This window comes from Homo sapiens, chromosome 5 (assembly GCF_000001405.40).
Source record: "Homo sapiens chromosome 5, GRCh38.p14 Primary Assembly".
Classification (NCBI taxonomy): Eukaryota; Metazoa; Chordata; class Mammalia; order Primates; family Hominidae; genus Homo; species Homo sapiens.
The window spans coordinates 31,707,252-31,728,185 of NC_000005.10; the positions used below are offsets into that span (position 1 = coordinate 31,707,252).

The 20,934-nt window shown below is 45.8% G+C and overlaps 1 protein-coding gene across 6 annotated transcripts in view, besides 1 other annotated feature; it reads left to right on the forward strand.

The window, feature by feature from the left end:
* The window catches only part of PDZD2 (PDZ domain containing 2), a 471,802-nt gene that overhangs the window by 68,121 nt on the left and 382,747 nt on the right, over nucleotides 1–20,934 (forward strand). For 4 of the 6 annotated variants that reach the window (XM_011513992.3, XM_011513994.3, XM_011513996.3 and 1 more), the window contains exon 1: nucleotides 4,788–4,840. The exons of the other annotated variants lie outside the window; for them this stretch is intronic. The gene's annotated coding sequence lies outside the window, so the exon portion shown is untranslated. Of the gene's footprint in view, nucleotides 1–4,787; nucleotides 4,841–20,934 lie in introns of those variants that run through there. 6 annotated transcript variants of the gene reach the window in all.
* Nucleotides 9,429–9,951: an enhancer, noted in NCBI's record as "OCT4-NANOG hESC enhancer chr5:31716787-31717309 (GRCh37/hg19 assembly coordinates)". NCBI's record gives its function as "activates a minimal SCP1, AML or CMV promoter by ChIP-STARR-seq in naive H9 embryonic stem cells {active_cell/tissue: H9 hESC(naive)}" and the evidence as "EXISTENCE:reporter gene assay evidence [ECO:0000049][PMID:30033119]".

Consider the following 20,934-nt stretch of genomic DNA (forward strand, 5'->3'; position numbering starts at 1 on the left):
TGTAACAAACCTGCATGTTGTGCACGTGTACCCTAGAACTTAAAGTTTAATAAATAAATTAATTAATTAATTAATTAATTAAATAAAAAATAAAAAAGGACTGGTGTCCTTAGAAGAAGAGGTAGAGAAACCAGTGCTTGCTCTCTTTCTGCTCACGCACAGAAGAAAGGCACAGCAGGAAGTGACAAGCCAGGAGGAGCCGCCTCACCAGAAGCTAGCCCTGGCAGCACCTTTATCTTGGACTTTAAGCCTTCAGGACTATGGAGGAAGTAAATTTCTGCAACAAGTCACCCAGTCTGCAGTATTTCATTATGGCTAATATGAGTAATACAGTCTGTATAGAAAGATAGAGCCACACCCACGTGGAGCTACTGCAAAAGTGAACTTGCTTTTTTTATCGGGGCCTCACTCTGTTGCCCAGGCTGCAGTGCAGTGATGCAGTCATACTTCACTGTAGCATCAACTCCTGTGTTCAAGTGATCCTCCTGTCTCAGCCTCCTGAGTAGCTGAGACTACAGGCACCCACCACCATGACCAGGTAATTTTTGTATTATTTTTAGAGACAAGAGTTTCCCTATGTTGCCCAGGCTGGTCTCGAACTCCTGGCCTCAAGTGATCCTTCCGCCTCAGCCTCCCAAAATGCTGGGATTACAGGCATGAGCCACCATGCCCAGCCAGGATGTTCAGTTTTAGAAGAGACTTGAAACAACCAATTCTGAGATGCTCCTTTTCCGTCCCAAAATATATGAGAGCTGTCTTACTCCCACCTTGATAGTAACAGCAGCTCCCGGGCCCTCATTCTCAAGAGATACGTAATAATACTAGGTTGGGGGAGGCAGGAAGGGCATACCCATGTAGTTGAACCAATCAAGTCCAGTCTCTTCAATTTTGGTCTGGCGTTTTCACTGTATCTTTTGCAGCCTATTTATCTAAGTCCCTGGCCCTTTCTGGCCCTTCCCTGCCCGCCTCTGAGCACATATATGACTCACCCACAATTATAAATTAAAATTGGACATCACGGGAATAGATGGTGGGGGGACAGCAGTGGTCACTGCATACCCCTCATTTACAGCATCTGGTCCCAACCATAAATGGCCCATGGGAAACCAGTGTCCTAGAAGAGGGGCCACGTGGCAGGAGCCTGGCCGTTTGTTTTTCTTTAGCTGTCTTCTGGGCTTAAATTATGCTTATTCTTTTTCAACTGACTTCTGTAGCCCCCAAAGCTCTTTCTTTCTTTTTTCACTTTGCATCCACTGAAGATCCTCCAAAGGTCTCAGAGTTATTTCAAGGAGAAATTGATGCTTCTGTTTTGTCCTAAGAGGAAATGCTATTTCTGAAAATCATGATTTATTTGTAAAGTTGGGCCACCATGTACATTATGCACTGACCAATTCAGGGAAGTAAAATTCACCCAGTCTACATCATGAATGGAGCCCTCTAGAATTGTGCAACACGATGGTCTGAGACTAGACTTTCACATGGTATTGGGCCAAAGTCAATTTGGGGTCACCTTCAGCTCAGAACTAACTGTGTGCTTTTCTGATAACCCATTAAGGGAAGCCCAGTATGTTGTCTTTTCTTTGCAACTTGGATCTTGATGGCCTGGGTAGTCCTCAGCAAATGTGTTTTGTTTTTTTTTTTTTTTTAATTTTTTTAGATGGAGTCTCACTCTGTCGCCCAGGCTGGAGAGGAGTGGTGTAGTCTTGGCTCACTGCAACCTCCGCCTCCCGGGTTCAAGCGATTCTCCTGCCTCAGCCTCCCGAGTAGCTGGGATTACAGGCACGCACCACCACGCCTGGCTAATTTTTGTATTTTTAGTAGAGACGGGGTTTCACCATGTTGGCCAGGCTGGTTTCGAACTGCTGTCCTCATGATCCGCCCACCTCAGCCTTCCAAAGTGCTGGGATTACAGGCATAAGCCACCACACCTGGCCTTCAGCAGTTATTTTTAAAGATTATAATAATAAGGCCAGTTGCTGTGGCTTAGCACTTTGGGAGGCTGAGGCAGGAGGATTGCTTGAGCTCAGGAGTTCAAGACCAGCTTGGGCAACGAAATGAGACCCCCATCTCTACAGAAAAGCAAAAAATCAGCTGGGCATGGTGGTGCATGCCTGTGATCCCAGCTACATGGAGGCTGAGGCAGGAGGATAGTTTGAGCCCAGGAGGTCAAGGCTACAGTGAGCCTTATGGCACTGCACTGCAGCCTGGGTGACAGACTAAGACCCTGTCTCAGGAAAAAAAATAAAATAAAAGGTGAGAGAAAAGGTGAGAGCTAGGGTTTGTCCTGGGCCAATTTTCTCTTCAGCACAACTTAAATGATAGGGAAATGTGGGTTCAAAAGAAGCACCTCCCCCGACAACTCTAGGGCTTTGCCTTTACCAAGCTTCCTTCAGTATCTTTTCCAAGGCCATTAAGTCATGTCGGCTGGGTGCGATGGCCCACGCCTGTAATCCCAACACTTTGGGAGGCCAAGGCAGGTGTGTCATCTGAGGCCAGGAGTTCAAGACCAACCTGGCCAACATGGTGAAACCCTGTCTCTACTAAAAATACACACATTAACCTGGCATGGTGGCACACGCCTGTAATCCCAGCTACTCGGGAGGCTGAGGCAGGAAAATCGCTTGAACCTGGGAGGCAGAGATTGCAGTGAGCCAAGATCACGCCACTGCACTTCAGCCTGGGCAACAGAGTGAGACTCCATCTCAAAAAAAAGAAAGTCACATCAACACATTTCTCTAAAAACTGGTTGAAAAGGAGCCACTTTTGGAGAGTGTGCACAGGGGAGCGGCTGCTCGCCCCTGACTCTGTTCCTATGTTGGGGAGGAGATTTGGGGCTAAATGTTGAAAAGTGAAGAACCTGTGAAGGAAGTGGCTTAGAGGTAAAAGGGAATTCAAAGAAAAATAACTGGTCCACGAAATTTGGTTTGAAAAATGCATGTAAAGAGCATGAACTACTCGAACTCCCTTTTTGGTTGCTGGACTGTATTTCTGTGATCCCAGTAGCACTCTGAGACTGTCACATGGGTGACAGTTTTGCGTATTTGACATGAATTACACTAGTGAATGATGTGGAGGTAAGTTTAAGTAAATTAGTGCAGGTTTGTGGTATTAAATAAAGTTTCAATAAATCAGCGTCATTATTAGTGCAAAATCCATGCGGAACATGGATTTTGGAGTTGGCTGAACTTCTATCCAAATTCCGGCTCTGCAGCTTACTGGTCACCTTGAGCTTGTTTCTGGCTTCTTTGACCCCTAGTTTCCTCATCTATAAGGAATAGAGATATGGCCAGGCGTGGTGGCTCATGCCTGTAATCTCAGCACTTCGGGAGGCCGAGGCGGGTGGATCACCTCAGGTTAGGAGTTTGAGACCAGCCTGGCCAACATGGTGAAACCCTGTCTCTACTAAAAATACAAAATTAGCTGGATGTGGTGGCACATGCCTGTAATCCTAGCTACTCAGAGGCTGAGGCAGGAGAATCGCTTGAACCTGGGAGGTGGAGGTTGCAGTGAGCCGGGATCGCGCCATTGCACTCCAGCCTGGGCGACAAGAGCAAAACTCCGTCTTGAAAAAAAAAAAAAAAAGAGTAGAGATATGAGAGGCTACCTCATTAGGTTGTTATGGGAATTAAAGGTGATAACCTATTTGCAAAGCACCTAGTACAGTGTCTGGCAGGGAGGAAGGCTTCATTTAAAATAAAACGTACATGTTGTAAAAAGAAAAAAGACACACACAAAAAAGTATATGTTGCAACAATTTCCATTCACGCCTTGTGACAGTAACTGTTGTTTGAGGACCTCTTCCCAGCTGCCGAGTCTCTCTGGGATGCCTCCAAGCCTTAGCATTCAAGCTGGGGTCAGACAGCTAAAGGCATTTCTAGACACCAGGGTCCACGCCAGATGTTCATCATGGATGGATATTGGTCAAGGGATCTGGACTGCCCTTTTTCCTAAGACAAAACCAGCAAGGCTCATTCCTAATGGCTTTGCACCAGAATTTGCAGTCCAACCTAATTAAAGGGCAGAGGGTCCATGTGCACACTACTAAACCAGAACATGTACTGTGCCCCGAGCTACTGTGTGTATGTGTGACAGGGGATGGGAAGGAAAGTTAAAAACAGAGGAAAGGGTCTCTTTGCTCTTGCCTAGGGTGAGCTTTTCAGTGAACTCCTGCATAAAGACCCCAAAGCATAAGCAAGTCTATGCTTGACTGCACATGTGGCTTAAGCCAAGGGGACTTTAAAGGACACGCACAAGCTGGAGCGTGTGCAAAAGAAGCATTTCCCTGGAGCTGTCAGTGCAGAGAGGTGGAGGGAGGTAGCAGTCACTCCTGAACTGTGACTCAGGGTGGGTGTTTGCTGCAGTCTCCACCCACTTCCTCTGTGACCCTGAACTAGCCACGCTTCATCGACAAGCCTCAGTTTCCTCATCTATAAAATGAGCCAGATGGAACCTGTGAAGTGTAGGGCCATGGCAAACTTCAGCAGGACAAGCCCCTCCCCGATCCACGATTGCCCGTGGCTGGAGCAGGGCGAGGGTTATCTGCAGCAGGCCTGCAGGCTTGTCTTTGTAAATCTGAACCAGTCACTGGCTGCAGCTCTCGAAGTCACCAGCCTCAGAAGGAGGGGGAGTTTGCCCTTTGTATTCCTTAAAAATAGAATAACAAATAGACAACACTTGGAATCTTTGAGTCTGGAAGTCAGTAATTAACTTGAGTTCTTGAGAAATTGTACATGTCAGCTTAAAGGAGGGAAATTGGTGGTGAGCTGAGGCCCAGGCTGTGGGTGATCAGAAGTGTGGCGTCTTGGTCCAGGATGCAGGTCCCTGATTCGGGTTGGACGTGGTAAGGCCAGGGTACTTATAGGGATCAGGGTAAGAACCCAGAGCCCTGAGGAGCACTTGTAGTTGCCTTGGAGTGGGTCCCGTGAACAGATCATCCTGGTTATCTGTTGCTGCAGTAGAACCCATGCCAAACTCAGCGGCTGAAGAGAACAGTTATTTTATTGCTTATGATTATTTGGGCCAGGAATTTGGGGAGAATTTGGTGGGGCAGTTCCCTGCCTCACACGGCGTTGACTCGGATTCAGCTCATGTCTGGGCTGGTCGAGAAGCCCTAGGAATGTTTTGCTCTTGGGTCAGAGACCTTGGCAATGAAGAGCTGGACGACTGGGTTCAGCTGGGGCACTGGGATGGCTGGGCCTGCCTCTCTCTCTCTCTCTCTCTCTCTCTCTCTCCCCCTCTCTCCCTCTCCCTATAGTCACAGGGCCTCTCCTTTTCCATCCAGTCTCTCCAGGTGGTCTCTTGAGTGGGGTCACTAGATTTCTTACATGGCAGCTCATGGCTCCCCAGAGAGAGTAAGCAAAGCTGCTAATTCTTCTAAAGGTTAGGACCCACATGGCACGGTGCATTTTTGCCATATTCCATTGGCCGAGCAGTCACAGAGCAGCTCGGATTGAAAGGAGTGGAGGAATACACTTTACCTCTCAACAGGGAAGTGACGTGTGCACAGAAAAGCGCAGGAATTGAAGGCAGCTGTCTTCAGGGGTAAAGCTGGAAAAGGATTTGGAGCCTGGGGTCGCGTTAAGGGCAATGGAGGGTAATGATGCCAGAGGGTCTTTGCGTGTGCAAGGGTGTCAGCCTAACTGTGCCAGAAGATCAAAACTCCTGACTGCAGGAGTGAGATGTACCCAACATGAGCCTTCTTTGTTCCTTGCATTCTGTAGTAAATAATTCTGACCCGGTGATCTGCTAACTCTGACTATGGCTGCCTGGACCACAGTGTTGAGAAGGATTCTGAGACTTTGTCAAGCTTCAGTGCCATAATGTATTGGTCATGTTTCTCTTGGGTATGGAATTGAAGAGTGGCCTTGTGTCATTTAGATTTATTCCATACCTGGGTCTGACCATGCTCTGGTCTCACCAGAAGGGAGACAGGTATATTCATTGGTCTCAACATTTGCCATGTGTTTTCCCAAATGCCCTGTTTGCAGGGCTGGCTTCCTTCTCAGCGACTGCCTGCAGCCTGCCTGGCCTTAGAGGTCTGCCTCCTTCTCTACGCTCTGCTGGACGACCCTAGCTTCTGGATTTCTATAACCTTGGGCTAAGTGATTTTCCACCATGAGATACTACTGTGCATTGTTAATTATCTTTTCATCTGCATACTAATTATTCCCAGTTAGGCTGCTTGATCATTGAAATCAAGAATACATCTTGGTATCTGCTATGGTTTGGATATTTGAGCCCTGCAAATCTCATGTTGAAATCTGATCCCTAACGTTGGGCCTAACTGGAGGTGTTGGGGTCATGCAGGTACATCCGTCATGAATGGCTTGGTGCTGTCCTTGTGGTAATGAGTGAGTTCTTCCTCTATTAGTTCCTGTGGGAGCTGATTGTTAAAAAGAGCCTGGCACCTCCCTCCCCTCCTAAGTAGCTGGGACTACAGGCGTGTGCCACCACACACAGCTAATTTTGTATTTTTAATAGAGACAGGGTTTCACCATGTTGGCTAGGCTGGTCTCAAACACCTGACCTCAGGTGATCCACCTGCCTTGGCCTCCCAAAGCGCTGGGATTACAGGTGTGAGCCACCACGCATGGCCACTCCACTTTCCATTTTACCATGAGCAGAAGCATCTTGAGATGCTCACCAGATGCAGATGCCAGCACCATGCTTCTTGTACAGCCTGCAGAACCATGGGCCAAATAAACATCTTTTCTTTATAAATCACCCAGCCTCAGGTATTCCTTTATAGCATCACAAATGGACTAAGATGGTATCCATCCTTCTGATACTCAGTAAGTACACTGGCATTTCTCTTTAATCACAGTGACTAAAGACAAGCATCAGGAGAAGATTTGAACCTATTGAATTTGTCTTTCCCTGCAAACAGGCATCAGTGATGGAAATAGGTTTGTAGCCACTAGGTTGGCTCAGTAAGTTTTTCCAGGAAAGTTTGCCTGGATTGGACATAAGGGTGGCCAGCTAGGGCTGAAGCAGAACTGTGGGTCAGGTACCCCCAGAGGCTGGTTCTGATTGAGGTTGTCAGGCAACCAGGGCTGATGCATGAGTGATTCCTAATGCTGTATCTGTGGGTTCCGCTTGTGTCTCGGCTTCCACAGTCCTTGTTGTTTGAATGATCATGTAGATGCTTCTATCAATATTCTGGTAGATGGATGGGGGATGTTTAAAGACTCCAGAAAGGGAAATAGTGTCATTGAGGAGGTAGGAGAAACTTTTGGAGGTGTTATGGGAATGGGAACAGGTGATCAAGCATCCCTGTTATGCAACCTCATACCGTCCAAGGAAAGGTTTTGTTTCTTTGTGTTGCTGGAGAGCTAATGTTTATCCGGTGCTTATAATCCCATATCTGCAACTCAAAACTGAGAAAGTGGATTTGGCAGAATTCCTTTGAGTCATGTACTGCTCTATTTGAGTTCATCTGTTTGGGCATATAAAGTCCCTAGAGACAAATGTGAAGAAACAGACACATAATTTATGTTACTTTATTTCTAAGAAATAAAATGCCTGGGGCCAGGCGCAGTTGCTCACGCCTGTAATCCTAGTACTTTGGGAGGCTGAGACGGGCAGATTACGAGGTCAGGAGATTGAGACCATCCTGGTTAACACGGTGAAACCCCGTCTCTACTAAAAGTACAAAAAAATTAGCCAGGAGTGGTGGTGGGCGCCTGTAGTCTCAGCTACTCGGGAGGCTGAGGCAGGAGAATGGAGTGAACCCTGGAGGCGGAGCTTACAGTGAGCCGAGATCTCGCCACTGCACTCCAGCCTAGGCAACAGAGCGACACTCTGTCTAAAAAAAAAAAAAAAAGAAAGAAAGAAAATGCCTGGTTCTGTGGAACCTGGGTTGGTCCATGGGTTGATAGGGCAAGGTGGGAAAAGTCAACATCTTCATTTTGGGCAGGACTCTTAGATATCTGATTTCTGTCTGTTCCTCTCCGGTCTCTGGTAGAGAGGGCTTTGTAGTAGAGAGGGCTTTATACAAGAAGTTTCTTGAAGAAACTAATTCTTCAAGATTAGATTGGTTCTTCCCTGGAGACAAACACACATGGCTGACATACCTGGGAAGGTTCATAGGTTTTTGGATGCCCCATGGGAAAGTCATGCTTCTTTCTGGTCCAGTGATTCTATGGGTCATCCAGCATCCCCACTGAGTTTCCTTGTGCACATCCCGGAACCAAATAAATCAGGATCTATTTTGTGATCATTAAGATACAGAGGCAATTAATGTTATTTATGACATACTAGAAGCTGGATGACATCTTAAAGTAAATTCAGAATCATCAAAGGAAGATAAAATTGTATGTGGCTCAGCCACAATGTCAGATGAATTAATTTTATTGACTTTTTGGTAGCTGGTCCCCTAAAAGTTGTTCACTAGAAAAGCCACTTAGTCACAGACTCCATTTTACCAATTGCTAAGAACAACAGCAGTAACAAGTATAATTTGTTGAGCATTCAAGTATAATTTGTTGATACCAGCCACTGTGCCACATGCTTTGTGTACCCACGATCTCATTTCATCATTCTGGACTAACGGGAGTTTCTGATGCCACCATTAAGAAATAAATACCATAAAAGAGCTGATTCCTTCATCTCTTTGTTTGTTTACATGGCTTTTGTGAAGTCATTCCTGAAAAGGTTGATTCTTGACGTTGATGTAGCAAATGTTGACTGAATCTTCCTGCATTCTCTCAGCCCGTGCAAAGCTCTACAGGGTATATGGAGAAGGCCCCTCTTCTGCTATTTCTTTGCTCTTCATTCTTGCCCCAAATCCATGATCTCACAGTAGATTAGGGACTGCCTATATGTGAATTTGGCCCATCTTCTCCCAAAACTAGCTTTCTCTCTCACTTCCATTCAATTTCAACATAATGACAGATAGAACCAACGCCTCTTTTCTCTCTTTTGAAGAGGATGTACTTTGCACTGCTTGGAAGGAATGAGTTGTTAATTTACAGTTACTGAATGCTTATTCACATTCAGCCATCTGTTTTAAAATGTACCCGGGATCTGTTTTAATCAGGTATGGTAAGAGACACAGACATGGAAATGGCTATCATGAAGAAAGAAGCTTATACTCACAGATCCTTAGAAACAGAGGCCCAGAATGCCACACGGGGCCACACCTGGACACACTGGGTCAGGAGGCAGAAGGAAATTGAGGGGAAAGTGTGGGGAAATGTCTTTATTGTGGTTTTTGAGGCAAGGAATGGGCAAGGCAGGGTAAGCAGGTTTAGAATTGGCAGTTTGTTGTAGGCCAGGCGCGGTGGTTCACACCTGTAATGCCAGCACTTTGGGAGGCCAAGGCGGGCTGATCACTTGAGGTCAGGAGTTCGAGACTAGCCTGGCCAACATGGTGAAACCCTGTCTCTACTAAAAATACAAAAATTAGCCGGGTGTGGTGGTGGGCACCTGTAGTCCCAGCTACTCGGGAGCCTGAGGCAGGACAGTTGCTTGAATCCAGGAGGTAGAGGTTGCAGTGAGCTGAGATTGTGCCACTGCACTCCAGGCTGGGTGACAGAGGGTGACTCAGTCTCGGAAAAATATAAAAAATAGAATTGGCAAGTTTGAATAATTTTAGTGGCCTTTGGGGTGCAGGGGCTGTCCCTAGTGGTTTAATACCTGGCCCTGGATGATTAGGGCAGGGGGCCCTGTGTGAGAGTTCAAAGAGGTTGTTGGGGTGGGGTGGCGGTGAGAGGGGATAGGAAGGCCTCTTGATTGATCGGTTAACATATGAAAGGTGTACAAAGGTAAGTGGTTTTTTATCTCTAAGAATTGGCTAGCTCTAGAAGAGGAAGTCTCTCCCCAGTCAACAAGGCCCCAGATGCCAAAACATTAAGAATAAAGAAAATTAAAAAAAAGAGTCAATAGATCATCCTTTAAAATATTTATCCAAGAGACAGCGTGTATTGAGTGCCCGTTGTGTCTGGCCTTTGCGAGTCTAGACCCAGTGTGGTATTGGAGCTAGTCCTGGGTGTGTGGAGGCCCTCAGTTAATGTTTGTTCCATAAGTGCTGAATGAATGCTTCAAACTTGTGACTGGAATACATAGATGTGCCTAAATCGCTGTCTCTGCCCTCAAGGAGAATGCAGTCTAGCCTGGGAAAGAGATGCATACATATATTTATTATAACACAATCATTGCCCTATTAAAAGCCACAGTCATGTCCAAACCTACTTGTCCTAGGGTCTTTGCTACCAGAGAAAGGTGCCAGTAGCTTACCTGGCCACTTAAGCCAGAACTTGAGTGACCTTAGCACCTCGCTTGTCCCTGCCTCCCTCCCCCTTAACCTCCCCAGCCTTCAAGTTTGGTGCATTCTACCTTGTGAAGCTGTCCCTGAATTTGTCTCTTCTCCATCTCCACTGACAGTAATGAGAGATGCCATGTGGCTGTCCTCCACCAGCCCCTCCTAGAGGCCTGGTTAGAGTGGGACGTCCCCATTCCGTTGTCCTCTGTGCCACGCAGAGCCTGAGCACTAACTCAGAGCAGCTGTCACCAGCTGCTGGTGGGCATCTGGGAGGGGACAGTGCAGGAGGGAAGGCGGGAGCCCTTCCGGGGGCTTTGCCACCCAGGGAGTCTTGCTTCAGATGCTCTGTCGTCCCTGGAAACCACTGTCTCTGGAAGGAGCCTGGAGCCAGCACAAGTCCCAGGGACAAATTTGTGGTAGACAGTTTGGCTCGGCCCCTCCCAGCTCCTCTTTGCCTCTTTTCCTCGCCTCTCCTTCTCCTAATTTCCCTTGGGGCCTTCTGAAGGGGTCTGGTTTGACAGTCCTGTCAGCTCCTCCCTATAACTCATTCTTGCATTAATGGAATTTAAAGGTCACTCTTTTCGCTGGTTTTGGTGCTGTAAAAGAGCAGAGGAAGGAAGGTAAGACGCTAAGGAGGGCAGGATGCGTGTGTCAAGGAGTGACTTCCCAGTGGGGTTGGTGAGTTGGGAATCTGCTGATTTATGGAGGACAACCCTGTGTGTTTCCCAGTGCAGGGCTGTAATTTGATCTTCCATCTTCCCAGCCCAGGGTGTGGAGAATAAACTGAGGCAAGAGGCAGATGGGCCTGGGGGAAGAAGGTTTGGTAGCCAGAAGCTCCAGTCCAGGTTGCATGGTCTGAGTCTGCAGGCTCCAATTTGAGGCTGGGAGGCCTGAAAGAAAGGCATCTTAGTCTGCCTGGGCTGCCATAACAAAGTACCACAGGCCGTGTGGCTGAACAACAGACATTTATTATCCCACAGTTCTGGAGGTTGGAAGTCCAAGATCAAGGTGTTGGCAGGTTTGGTTTCTTCTGAGGCCTGTTTCCTTGTCTTGCAGATGGCCACCTTCTTGCTGTGTCTGCTTCTGTGCTTACGCATCCCTGGTATCTCTCTCTGTGTCCTAATCTCCTCTTCTTATAAAGCCACTAGTTAGGTTGGATTAGGGCCCACTGTAACAGCCTCATTTTTTTTTTTTTTTTTTTTTTTTTGAGATGGAGTCTTGCTCTGTCTCCAGGCTGGAGTGCAGTAGCACGATCTCGGCTCACTGCAACCTCCACCTCTTGGGTTCAAGTCATTCTCCTGTCTCAGCCTCCCGAGTAGCTGGAATTACAGGCGCATGCCACCACACCCAGGTAATTTTTTGTATTTTAGTTAGAGACAGGGTTTCACCACGTTAGCCAGGATGGTCTCCATCTCCTGACCTTGTGATCCGTCTGCCTTGGCCTCCCAAAGTACTGGGATTACAGGTGTGAGCCACAGCACCCTGCCTAACCGCCTCATGTTAACTCAGTGACCTCTTTAAAGACACTATCTCTAAATACAGTCACATTCTGAGGTACTAGAAGTTAGTTTCAACATATGAATTTGTGGCAGGGGTCACAATTCAGCTTGTAACAAAAGGGTAGCACGGTGTTAGGAAGGCCTTTGAATTGGTGTTCTCACAAATATTCAGGTGGCCAATAATTTGTGAGTCAATGGTGTCTATTCAATAAAATGTTGAGTCATTGGATTCCACTATATGATCTAGGAGCAACTTTACTAGCGGAAAATAGGATGCTGTGTGAAGTGTGCAATCTATTAGGTAAAATTCCAGCAAACAGAATGGGCACAGAAAAGGGGAAAACTGTGGAACTAAGCAGACTAGAGGTTTTGAGTTTTTGCTATAATACTTGCTTACTTGCACAATTATTTTTTCATCCACTGAACTTGCCGACAAAACAGTAGCAGGTGCCAGAGTTTTAAAGTTTCTGAGTGACAGCTTGAAACTGACAAAACTCCTTGTACTAAATAAATTATTTCTATATATTTGGAAAAACTCACTATTATTCAGTTTTAGCAATAGAAACATCACTAGTATTCCAAAGGAACATAGTTGGAGAATCATTAAGGGAAGCAAAATCCCTGTGTCTTCTCTAATTAGAAGATTTAGGGAACAAATAGTACTTTTCAATGATTACTGAAAGAAAGAGGACTTGAGAAGCTAATCATTTACAGTCTAGCTTCTCCATCCATTTTTTTTTCATTTAGTCATTTAATCAGCAATAATTGATTGAGGCCCTTGAATATGCATAACATTTTGCTAGAGACTAGTGATAGAGAAGTAAATGAAACTCGATCTCTGCCTTGAGGACCTCAGTTACCAGTTAAGAATTTTAGTTGCAAAACACAGAATCAACTCTAGTTGGTTTAAGCAAAGAGGTTATTTATTAAAGCAGCTCCAGCAGAGGCAGAATTGGCCTGGAAGCAAAGCAGCCAGTCCAGGCAATGCGCTGCCCCAGTGGAGATCTTTCACTCATATCAGTGCCCTGGCACCAATGCTGGATGCTGAGTACAAGACACTACTTTAACCTGCTCAGCTGTTGTCTCCTGAAGTTGGGTGTCTGTAACTGCCTTTGACAAAATGGCTTCCAGAAGACAATTGCTTCTCCACCTCTCTCTCTTCTAATTGGCAGAGCCCAGATCACGTGTCTACATCTTAGCTGCAAGGGCAGCTGGGAAAGCAAGTTTCTGGCATCTGCCTTAAAGATGTGCAGAATCAGAAGAAGGGAACTTCTGCAAATAGAATGTGGAAAGGCAATGAGTAACCAAAAAGCATAGCAGGTATCCATTCTAAGCTCCCAGTCTAATGGAATAAACAGACATACATTCAGAAACATCACAACATAGTGAAAAAAATGCTATACTCGAGGTATGCTTATGTCATGATGATATAGGGAAACTTCCCCTTTGCCTCTGAAGATTCACTGCAAATCAGCTGACAAAGGGCAGATTAATAGGAGGAAAAGAATACAAATTTATTTCACCATAGTTTTATGTGACACGGGAGCCTTCAGAATGAAGACCCAAAGATACAGGGGAAAGTGTCCATTTTCATGCTTAGGTTTAACAAAGTTTGGACCGCCATGAAGAAATATGATTGGACAAAAAGCATATGATCTAGCATGAATTGACTGAGTGGGGAAACCTAGCAAGTCCTATCTGTGTAACTTCTACTTGGCCTCTCTGTGCAGTGTTCTTTCCTCCTGGGGATGGGGCAGGACCCTCTCTGGAAGGGGAGTCTTATGACCTACAATCAAACAAGATAGGTCAGATAGTTTCTTTATGGACAGTTTTTACACAAAGGTTGGGGAGAAGGTGGGAGTTAGGGTAATATTTTTAGGTTTTATGGCTGGCTTTGAAGAATAGGGGTTCTGGTTTCTATGAACCACCTTGGGGAAAAGTCATTCTAGTTTCTGTGGGTAGCCTTGGGCTGGTGGGGGAAAACGAGAGAGGCAGAGACAACAAGGCAGGAGGAGGTTGGAGTGCGCTGCTTCCTATGCTTTCATTTTGGGTTATTTTCTGAGCCCCAACAGTGAAGACCAGTAAGGGAGTTGTTAACAGACTGGCGTGGTCAGGGAAGGCTTCCTGGAGGAGGTGATGGATGACTGAGCACATCCTGATGGATGAAGCAAGAGAGGAGCAGCTTAGAGTTAAATAAGAACAAGGACCCTCACTGTCTGACTTTAAGGTGCCTCCACAGTGAGTATGCCAGATTAGGAAAATGGAAACAGATGAAGCCAGAAGAAAAGATAGATTGGAGAGAACCCGTGTGAGAACTGCCTGGAAAGTGCTCAGGCCCTCCCCTCATAGGGCTGTCCACATAGTTGGCTTTGCTTGTGTCCTTCTCACTCCCAACTCTGTTTTCTTCAGATGTCCTAACAGGTTAGGGCTTCCAGTAGGAAATATACAGTGCCTTTTCAGAGGGGCTTTTTAGAAATGCAAAGCCTGACACCAAATAACTGCCTCTTTTTTTTTTTTTTTTTTTTTAGAAAAAGTATTAGGAAACTAATAAGGAAAGGAAAGGATAAAGTGAAACGTACAAGTCGCTCCATAACTAGCATGTATATATTTATGGGCTATCTTTAAAAAAGTAACCAACCTCAAATGCAATTAAATTATGCCTAATGCTTTGCAATTTTTTTCTGCCTTCCCTATCTTAGATTCTTAAAAAAAATGAGGCTTAGCTGTCTCAAAAAAAAAAATGAGTCTTAGCAGTGCCTTGCAGTTGTGTTTGGTCAATAAATATTTATTAATAATGAGGAGGCTGAGAATGAGGATATTTTAATGGCGGAGATCGGTTTACAGAGCTGGTATATGGGACTCTACTTCCCCCTAAATCTGTTTCTCCTCTGGATTTCCTCATCTCCATAAATTGCATCCCTTAGTAATTGGCTTAACTCAGACACATAGCCCAGCCTTCGTTCCTCCCTCTCTCACCCCACAAGCTATCCATCAGCAAGCCCTGTCTGCTCGAGCTCAACATCATCTTGAATGTCTTCTTCTCCCCAGGTGCACTGCTTCCATCCCCAAGCAAGGCTGCTCCCTCCAGCCTAGACAACCTCACATTGCTTTTCTCTAGACCGTTCTCACTGTAGCCAAATATTTCACAACAAAAATGTCTCTTTTGCATAAAACTTTCCAGTGCTGGTTTCCCATTGCTCTTAGACAAAATTCAAGGCCTTGCATGAGGCAGCCCCTCACCACACCGCACACTCTGCTCCTCCCTCTCACCTTGGCTGGCTGGCCACACTAACCTTCAAGCCATTCCTCAAGCACGCCCTTGGGTTCCTGGCTCAGGAGCTCTCCCACTGCCTGGACGGACAGCCTGCCCCCTCCCCTGGAACCCTCCCACCCTCTCCACTCTGTACAGCTGATTTCTTCTTATCTTTTATGTTTTTCCCCTTCATTTTGTTTTTATTACAGCATGTTTTCTTAATTTACAGCAAGCAGAAAATAAGCTGGGTCTTGTTTTGATCCAAACATTGATGTTTTAAAAGTTGTACACAAGATTTGTTAAAAAGAACATATAAAAATGCCTTTTTAGAAGCTTCTGCAAGAAAGAAAATACAAAGTTTAACCCCACAACTTTCCTCTTTGCTAGAACTGCAAACTACTGCTACAGTTTTTTGTGGGTTGTTTTTTTGTTGTTTTTTTTTTGAGACAGAATCTCATTCTGTTGCCCAGGCTGGAATGCTGTGGCGCAATCTCAGCTCACTGCAACCTCTGCCTCCCGGGCTCAAGCGATTCTCCTGCTCAGCTGCCCAAGTAGCTGGGATTACAGGTGCCCACCACCACACCTGGCTAATTCTTGTATTTTTAGTAGGGATGGGTTTCACCATGTTGTCCAGGCTGGTCGTGAACTCCTGACCTCAGGTGATCCACCCTCCTCAACCTCCCAAAGTGCTGGGATTACAGGCGTGAGACACCGTGCCTGGCCCACTGCCACAGTTTTAAATAGACTTTTTGTTGTTTAAACTATACATCCAGGAAAATCTAAAGAAACGTGCATATAAATGATTGCATAGCAGAACATGAACATTAACTGAAAACAGTAAAGAAATGAAAGTTAGAAATACTCTCAAATATACAAAGATTCTAGAGTCAATCCTTTAAACACATTCCGCAAACAGTATTTAAAAACCATTGTTTTGTTCTTTACAGGCGAAGCCTAGATTACTAACACCAAAACTGAAAAAAATAATCCTTTAAAAAGAATCATTTCTCCATGATAATTCTTACTTATTTCTGTAAGCAAGCAATCTGAGATTTTTTAAGATGCTAGTTTTTTGTTTTGTTTTTTTTTTCTGGAATGAGATTGGACATGTCAAGTCACTTTTGTCCCCAAAACAATCTTTCAGAGAAATACTAGAAATTATCAATGGTTAAAGGTATTACTTGTTTATTTTTAGTCAGGTATTACACTGATAACCAAAAACTCAAAAGATGTGACTCTTGCTTAAAACTGACTGATCCTTTTTCCAAAATTATTTTAAATTTCATAGCACCACAGAATCACCTAGAGTGAGAGTGTTGTCTTTCAACTTGCCTCTTATTTTATTATTATTATTATTTTTATTATTTTTTGAGACGAAGTCTCGCTCTTGTCACCCAGGCTGGAGTGCAATGGCGCGATCTTGGCTCAGTGCAACCTCCGCCTCCCCAGTTCAAGTGATTCTCCTGCCTCAGCCTCCCGAGCAGCTGGGATTACAGGCGCCCACCACCACGCCTGGCTAATTTTTGTATTTTTAGTAGAGACGGGGTTTCACCATGTTGGCCAGGCTGGTCTCGAACTCCTGATCTCAGGCGATCCGCCCACCTCGACCTCCCAAAGTGCTGGGATTACAGGTGTTAGCCACCGTGCCCAGCCCTCAACTTGCCTCTTTTTGAATAAACTGAGGTGTGAAAGGCAAGCCTCTCTCATGAAGAGGCAGGAAATTTTGATATAAATGCACAGGCCAAGTGCTGTAAACATCAAAATTTCAATTCTTTTACACAGTGCACACACACACACAGAACCTACTTTGAAACAATTTACTTGCTTCTAACAGCTGTAAAAAAACTAAGCAATATTATGGTCAACAATACTCCTTAAACTTTAGCGTAACTTCATAGGAACATTATTTTCCCCTTACAATCCTTTTGGCCATCATCAACCTGCTCAAATTTTAAGGTGAGCTTTTGTGATGTTTTCTATGTTCCAAATCTTCATGGGAACCAGAAAAAAGTCATGAAGTCTCCATGTTTCAGTCAAAGACTCCATCTCCCTAAAAGGCCGGGCGCAGTGGCTCACGCCTGTAATCCCAGCACTTTGGGAGGCCGAGATGGGCGGATCACCTGAGGTTGGGAATTCGAGACCAGCTGACCAACATGGAGAAACCCCGTCTCTACTAAAAATACAAAAATTGGCTGGCCATGGTGGCGCATACCTGTAATCCCAGCTACTCTGAAGACTGAGGCAGGAGAATCGCTTGAACCCGGGAGGTGGAGTTTGCAGTGAGCCGAGATCGTGCCATTGCACTCCAGCCTGGGCAACAAGAGTGAAATTCCGTCTCAAAAAAAAAAAAAAAAAAAAAAAACTCCCTGAAAATACTGTGTAACCCAGTTGGCATCATTCCCCAAGACAGTGGGGTTAACAAAAAAACAAATCCACGCTGCATCATAAATAATGATCATGGGCCTAGACATCTTGACAAGACATAAAGGTCCACCCTGAACCTAAATGCATCTGGCCAGTCAGTGTTGTACTGTGGCTACCACCTCACTTTTGTATCATTCTGTCTTATTAGCAAGCTACATTTCTAGGTTAGCGGTTCTACCAAATATGAATATGAAAGTTTATTTTTAATAAGACAGTGTTGCAAATTATGGTCAACTAACATCTTTTCACCAAATACTTCAAGCATAAAACATGAGAATTTTTATAGAAATATACAGAGACACCACAAATTGGTAGCTGTCCATGACATTAAACAAACTGGACTCCTAAGAGTGGCTTCTCAGCCAGGCACGGTGGCTCACATCTGTAATCCCAGCATTCTGGGGGGCTAAGGCGGATGGATCACCTGTGGTCAAGAGTTCGAGACCAGCCTGACCAACATGGAGAAACCCCATCTCTACTAAAAATACAACAAAAAAAAATTAGCCAGGCGTGGTGGCACACGCCTGTAATCCCAGCTACTTGGGAGGCTGAGGCAGGAGAATCACTTGAACCCGAGAGGCGGAGGTTGTGGTGAGCCAAGATCATGCCATTGCACTCCAGCCTGGGGGACGAGAGCAAAACTCCATCTCAAAAAAAAAAAAAAAAAAAAGAGTGGCTTCTCAACAGCATATTGTTTTAATTATAACCATTGCCTGATACAGGGAAAACTAACAAGTGTTTTTTAAGCATCATTGCAACATTGTATTCCTGATAATTTAAGTAAATAAAACTATGAGTAAATGAATGATCCATGTCTAAAAATGATCATGGTTTATACTACCAGGGGCCACTGGACTTAGGACTAGTCCAAGACCTTGATCTAGATTTTGACCTAGACCTAGACTATGATCTTGACTGAGATTTGGATCTAGGTGGTCCTTTTTTCCTTGATTCCTTTTCATATCTTGAGCCAGACTTGTAATGTGCTTTGGAATCTGTTTTTAGAGATGCCTCTAGTTTTGGTATGAGATGCAGGCCTGCAACGTGATTTAGCCTTCATTTCTTTCTTGGGCTGGGACTTGGACCGTGATCTTGATTTGGATTTAGATCTTGAAAAAGATCCACTTTGGTGTTTGAATCTCTCATTGCCGGAATGGCTTCTGCTACGCCGTGGTCTTCCAGTTGGTCTTTTTCTAGGACTATACAATCTCTTCTCACAGGGCCGTTCCTCCAGCTGCCTGGGTCTCCACTCTCTGCCGCATGCGTAACAGATGATGAAATAGGCAGTCTTGGATACTCCTGGGTCTTCCCTGCAGATGCATAATGGAGTAGAAAGCGTGCTGAACCGAGAAGGCAGGAGCACAGCTCTGGAGCCCTACTGCCTCCCCTTGGCTGTGTAACTTGGGGAAACTCACTCCGTCCTGAGCCTGCCTTTCCTTATCTGTAGATTGTGAGGAGAAGTGCCTGCTCTGAGTTAACTTCCAGGGCCAGGGAGTGATGCTTGCACATGCCGTTGCCACCTTTTTATGCGTACAGTAGTAGTATATTACCCAGCATGGGCCGGGCGCGGTGGCTCACGCCTATAATCCCACCGCTTTGGGAGGCCAAGGCAGGCAGATCACCTGAGGTCAGGAGTTCAAGACCAGCCTGGCCATCATGGTGAAACCCTGTCTCTCCTAAAAATACAAAAATTAGCTGGGTGTGGTGATGCATGCTTGTAATCCCAGCTACTCAGGAGGCTGAGGCAGGAGAATCACTTGAACCCAAGAGGTGGACGTTGCAGTAAGCCAAGATTGTGCCATTGCACTTCAGCCTGGGAGACAAGAGCGAAACTCCATCTCCAAAAAAAAGTATATTACCCAGCACGCGTAGGTTTCATTTGGGAAGAGGAGGATCAACTTGAAGATGAGAAACCCAGATCAAAGTTGCCTGGACAAAGTTTTTGTACCCCTCAGCAGATCTGGGAGGATTGCAGGAGGACAGAGGGTGGGCAGGGCCGGCCTGGGCTTAGACCTGGGGAAGACCATCCTATTTGAGGCTTTGACCTGTACACTCCACTGTGTTCTAGAGCACAAGTTTGGCCCAGAAAGCTATCTACCATTCAGATAGTAAGGAGCTGTAATAGGCCGTTGTCCCATTGCTATAAAGAAATACCTAAGACCGGGTAAATTATAAAGAAAAGAGGTTTAATTGCCTTGTAGTTCTGCAGGCTTTACAGGAAGCATGGTGCCAACATCTGCTCAGCTTCTGGGGGGCCTCAGGGAGGCCTTTACTCATGGCAGAAGGTGAAGCGGAAGCAGGCACTTCACATGGCAGGAGCATGCGAGAGAGAGAAAGGGTGGGGGTGCCACACAATTTTAAACGACCAGATCTTGCAAGAAGAGCTCACTCACTATCACGAAGACAGCACCAAGCCATGAGCGATCCACCCCCACCGTCCAAACACCTCCCACCAGGCCCCACCTCCAGCGCTGGGGATTACATTTTAATATGAGATTTCAGCAGGAACAAATATCCAAGCTATCTGAAGAGCCAAGTGAGAAATTCCTTGCCAAGAATAGGCATGAGCTTGATGGCTGCTTGACTTGGACTGTATTTCTTCATCTTGGTGAGATGCCTTTTGGGCCACTGTGAGAGTGGGGTTGGTTGAAATTCTTCTTTCCTCCAATACTACCTCCCACTGCAAATATACCAGCCTGCATATAATGAAGCTGGGCTCTTGCTATAAGGTCACATGGCCGGGCGCGGTGGCTCACGCCTGTAATCCCAGCACTTTGGGAGGCCGAGGCGGGCGCATCACCTGAGTTGAGACCAGCCATGGTCAACATGGTGAAACCATGTCTCTACTAAAAATACAAACAATTAGCCGGACATGGTGGTGGGCACCTGTAATCCCAGCTCCTCAGGAGGCTGAGGCAGGAGAATCGTTTGAGCCCGGGAGGCAGAGGTTGCAGTGAGCCGAGATCGTGCCATTGCACTCCAACCTGGGCAACAAGTAGCAAAGCTCAATCTCAAAAAAAAAAAAAAAAGAAAGGCCGGGCGCGGTGGCTTCACCTGTAAACCCAACACTTCCGGAGGCCGAGGCGGGCGGATCACGAGGTCAGGAGATGCGAGACCGTCTTGGCTAACACGGTGAAACCCCGTCTCTACTAAAAATACAAAAAATTTTGCCGGGTGTGGTGTGGGCCCCTGTAGTCCCAGCTACTCAGGAGGCTGAGGCAGGAGAATGGTGTGAATCCAGGAGGCAGAGCTTGCAGTGAGCCAAGATCGCACCACTGCACTCCAGCCTGGGCCACAGAGCCAGACTCTGTCTCAAAAAAAAAAAAAAAAAAAGATCAGGCAGAAGACCGTCGCTGACCACCTATGGGCATGTGCTATAGTTGCAAAGAAGTCGAAAATTTCTTCTCTGATTCTAAAGCATGATTTCTCAGCATTATTGACATTTTGGGTGGGGTGATTCTTTGTTTGGCTGGGGTGAGGGACTTGGCAGCATCTTC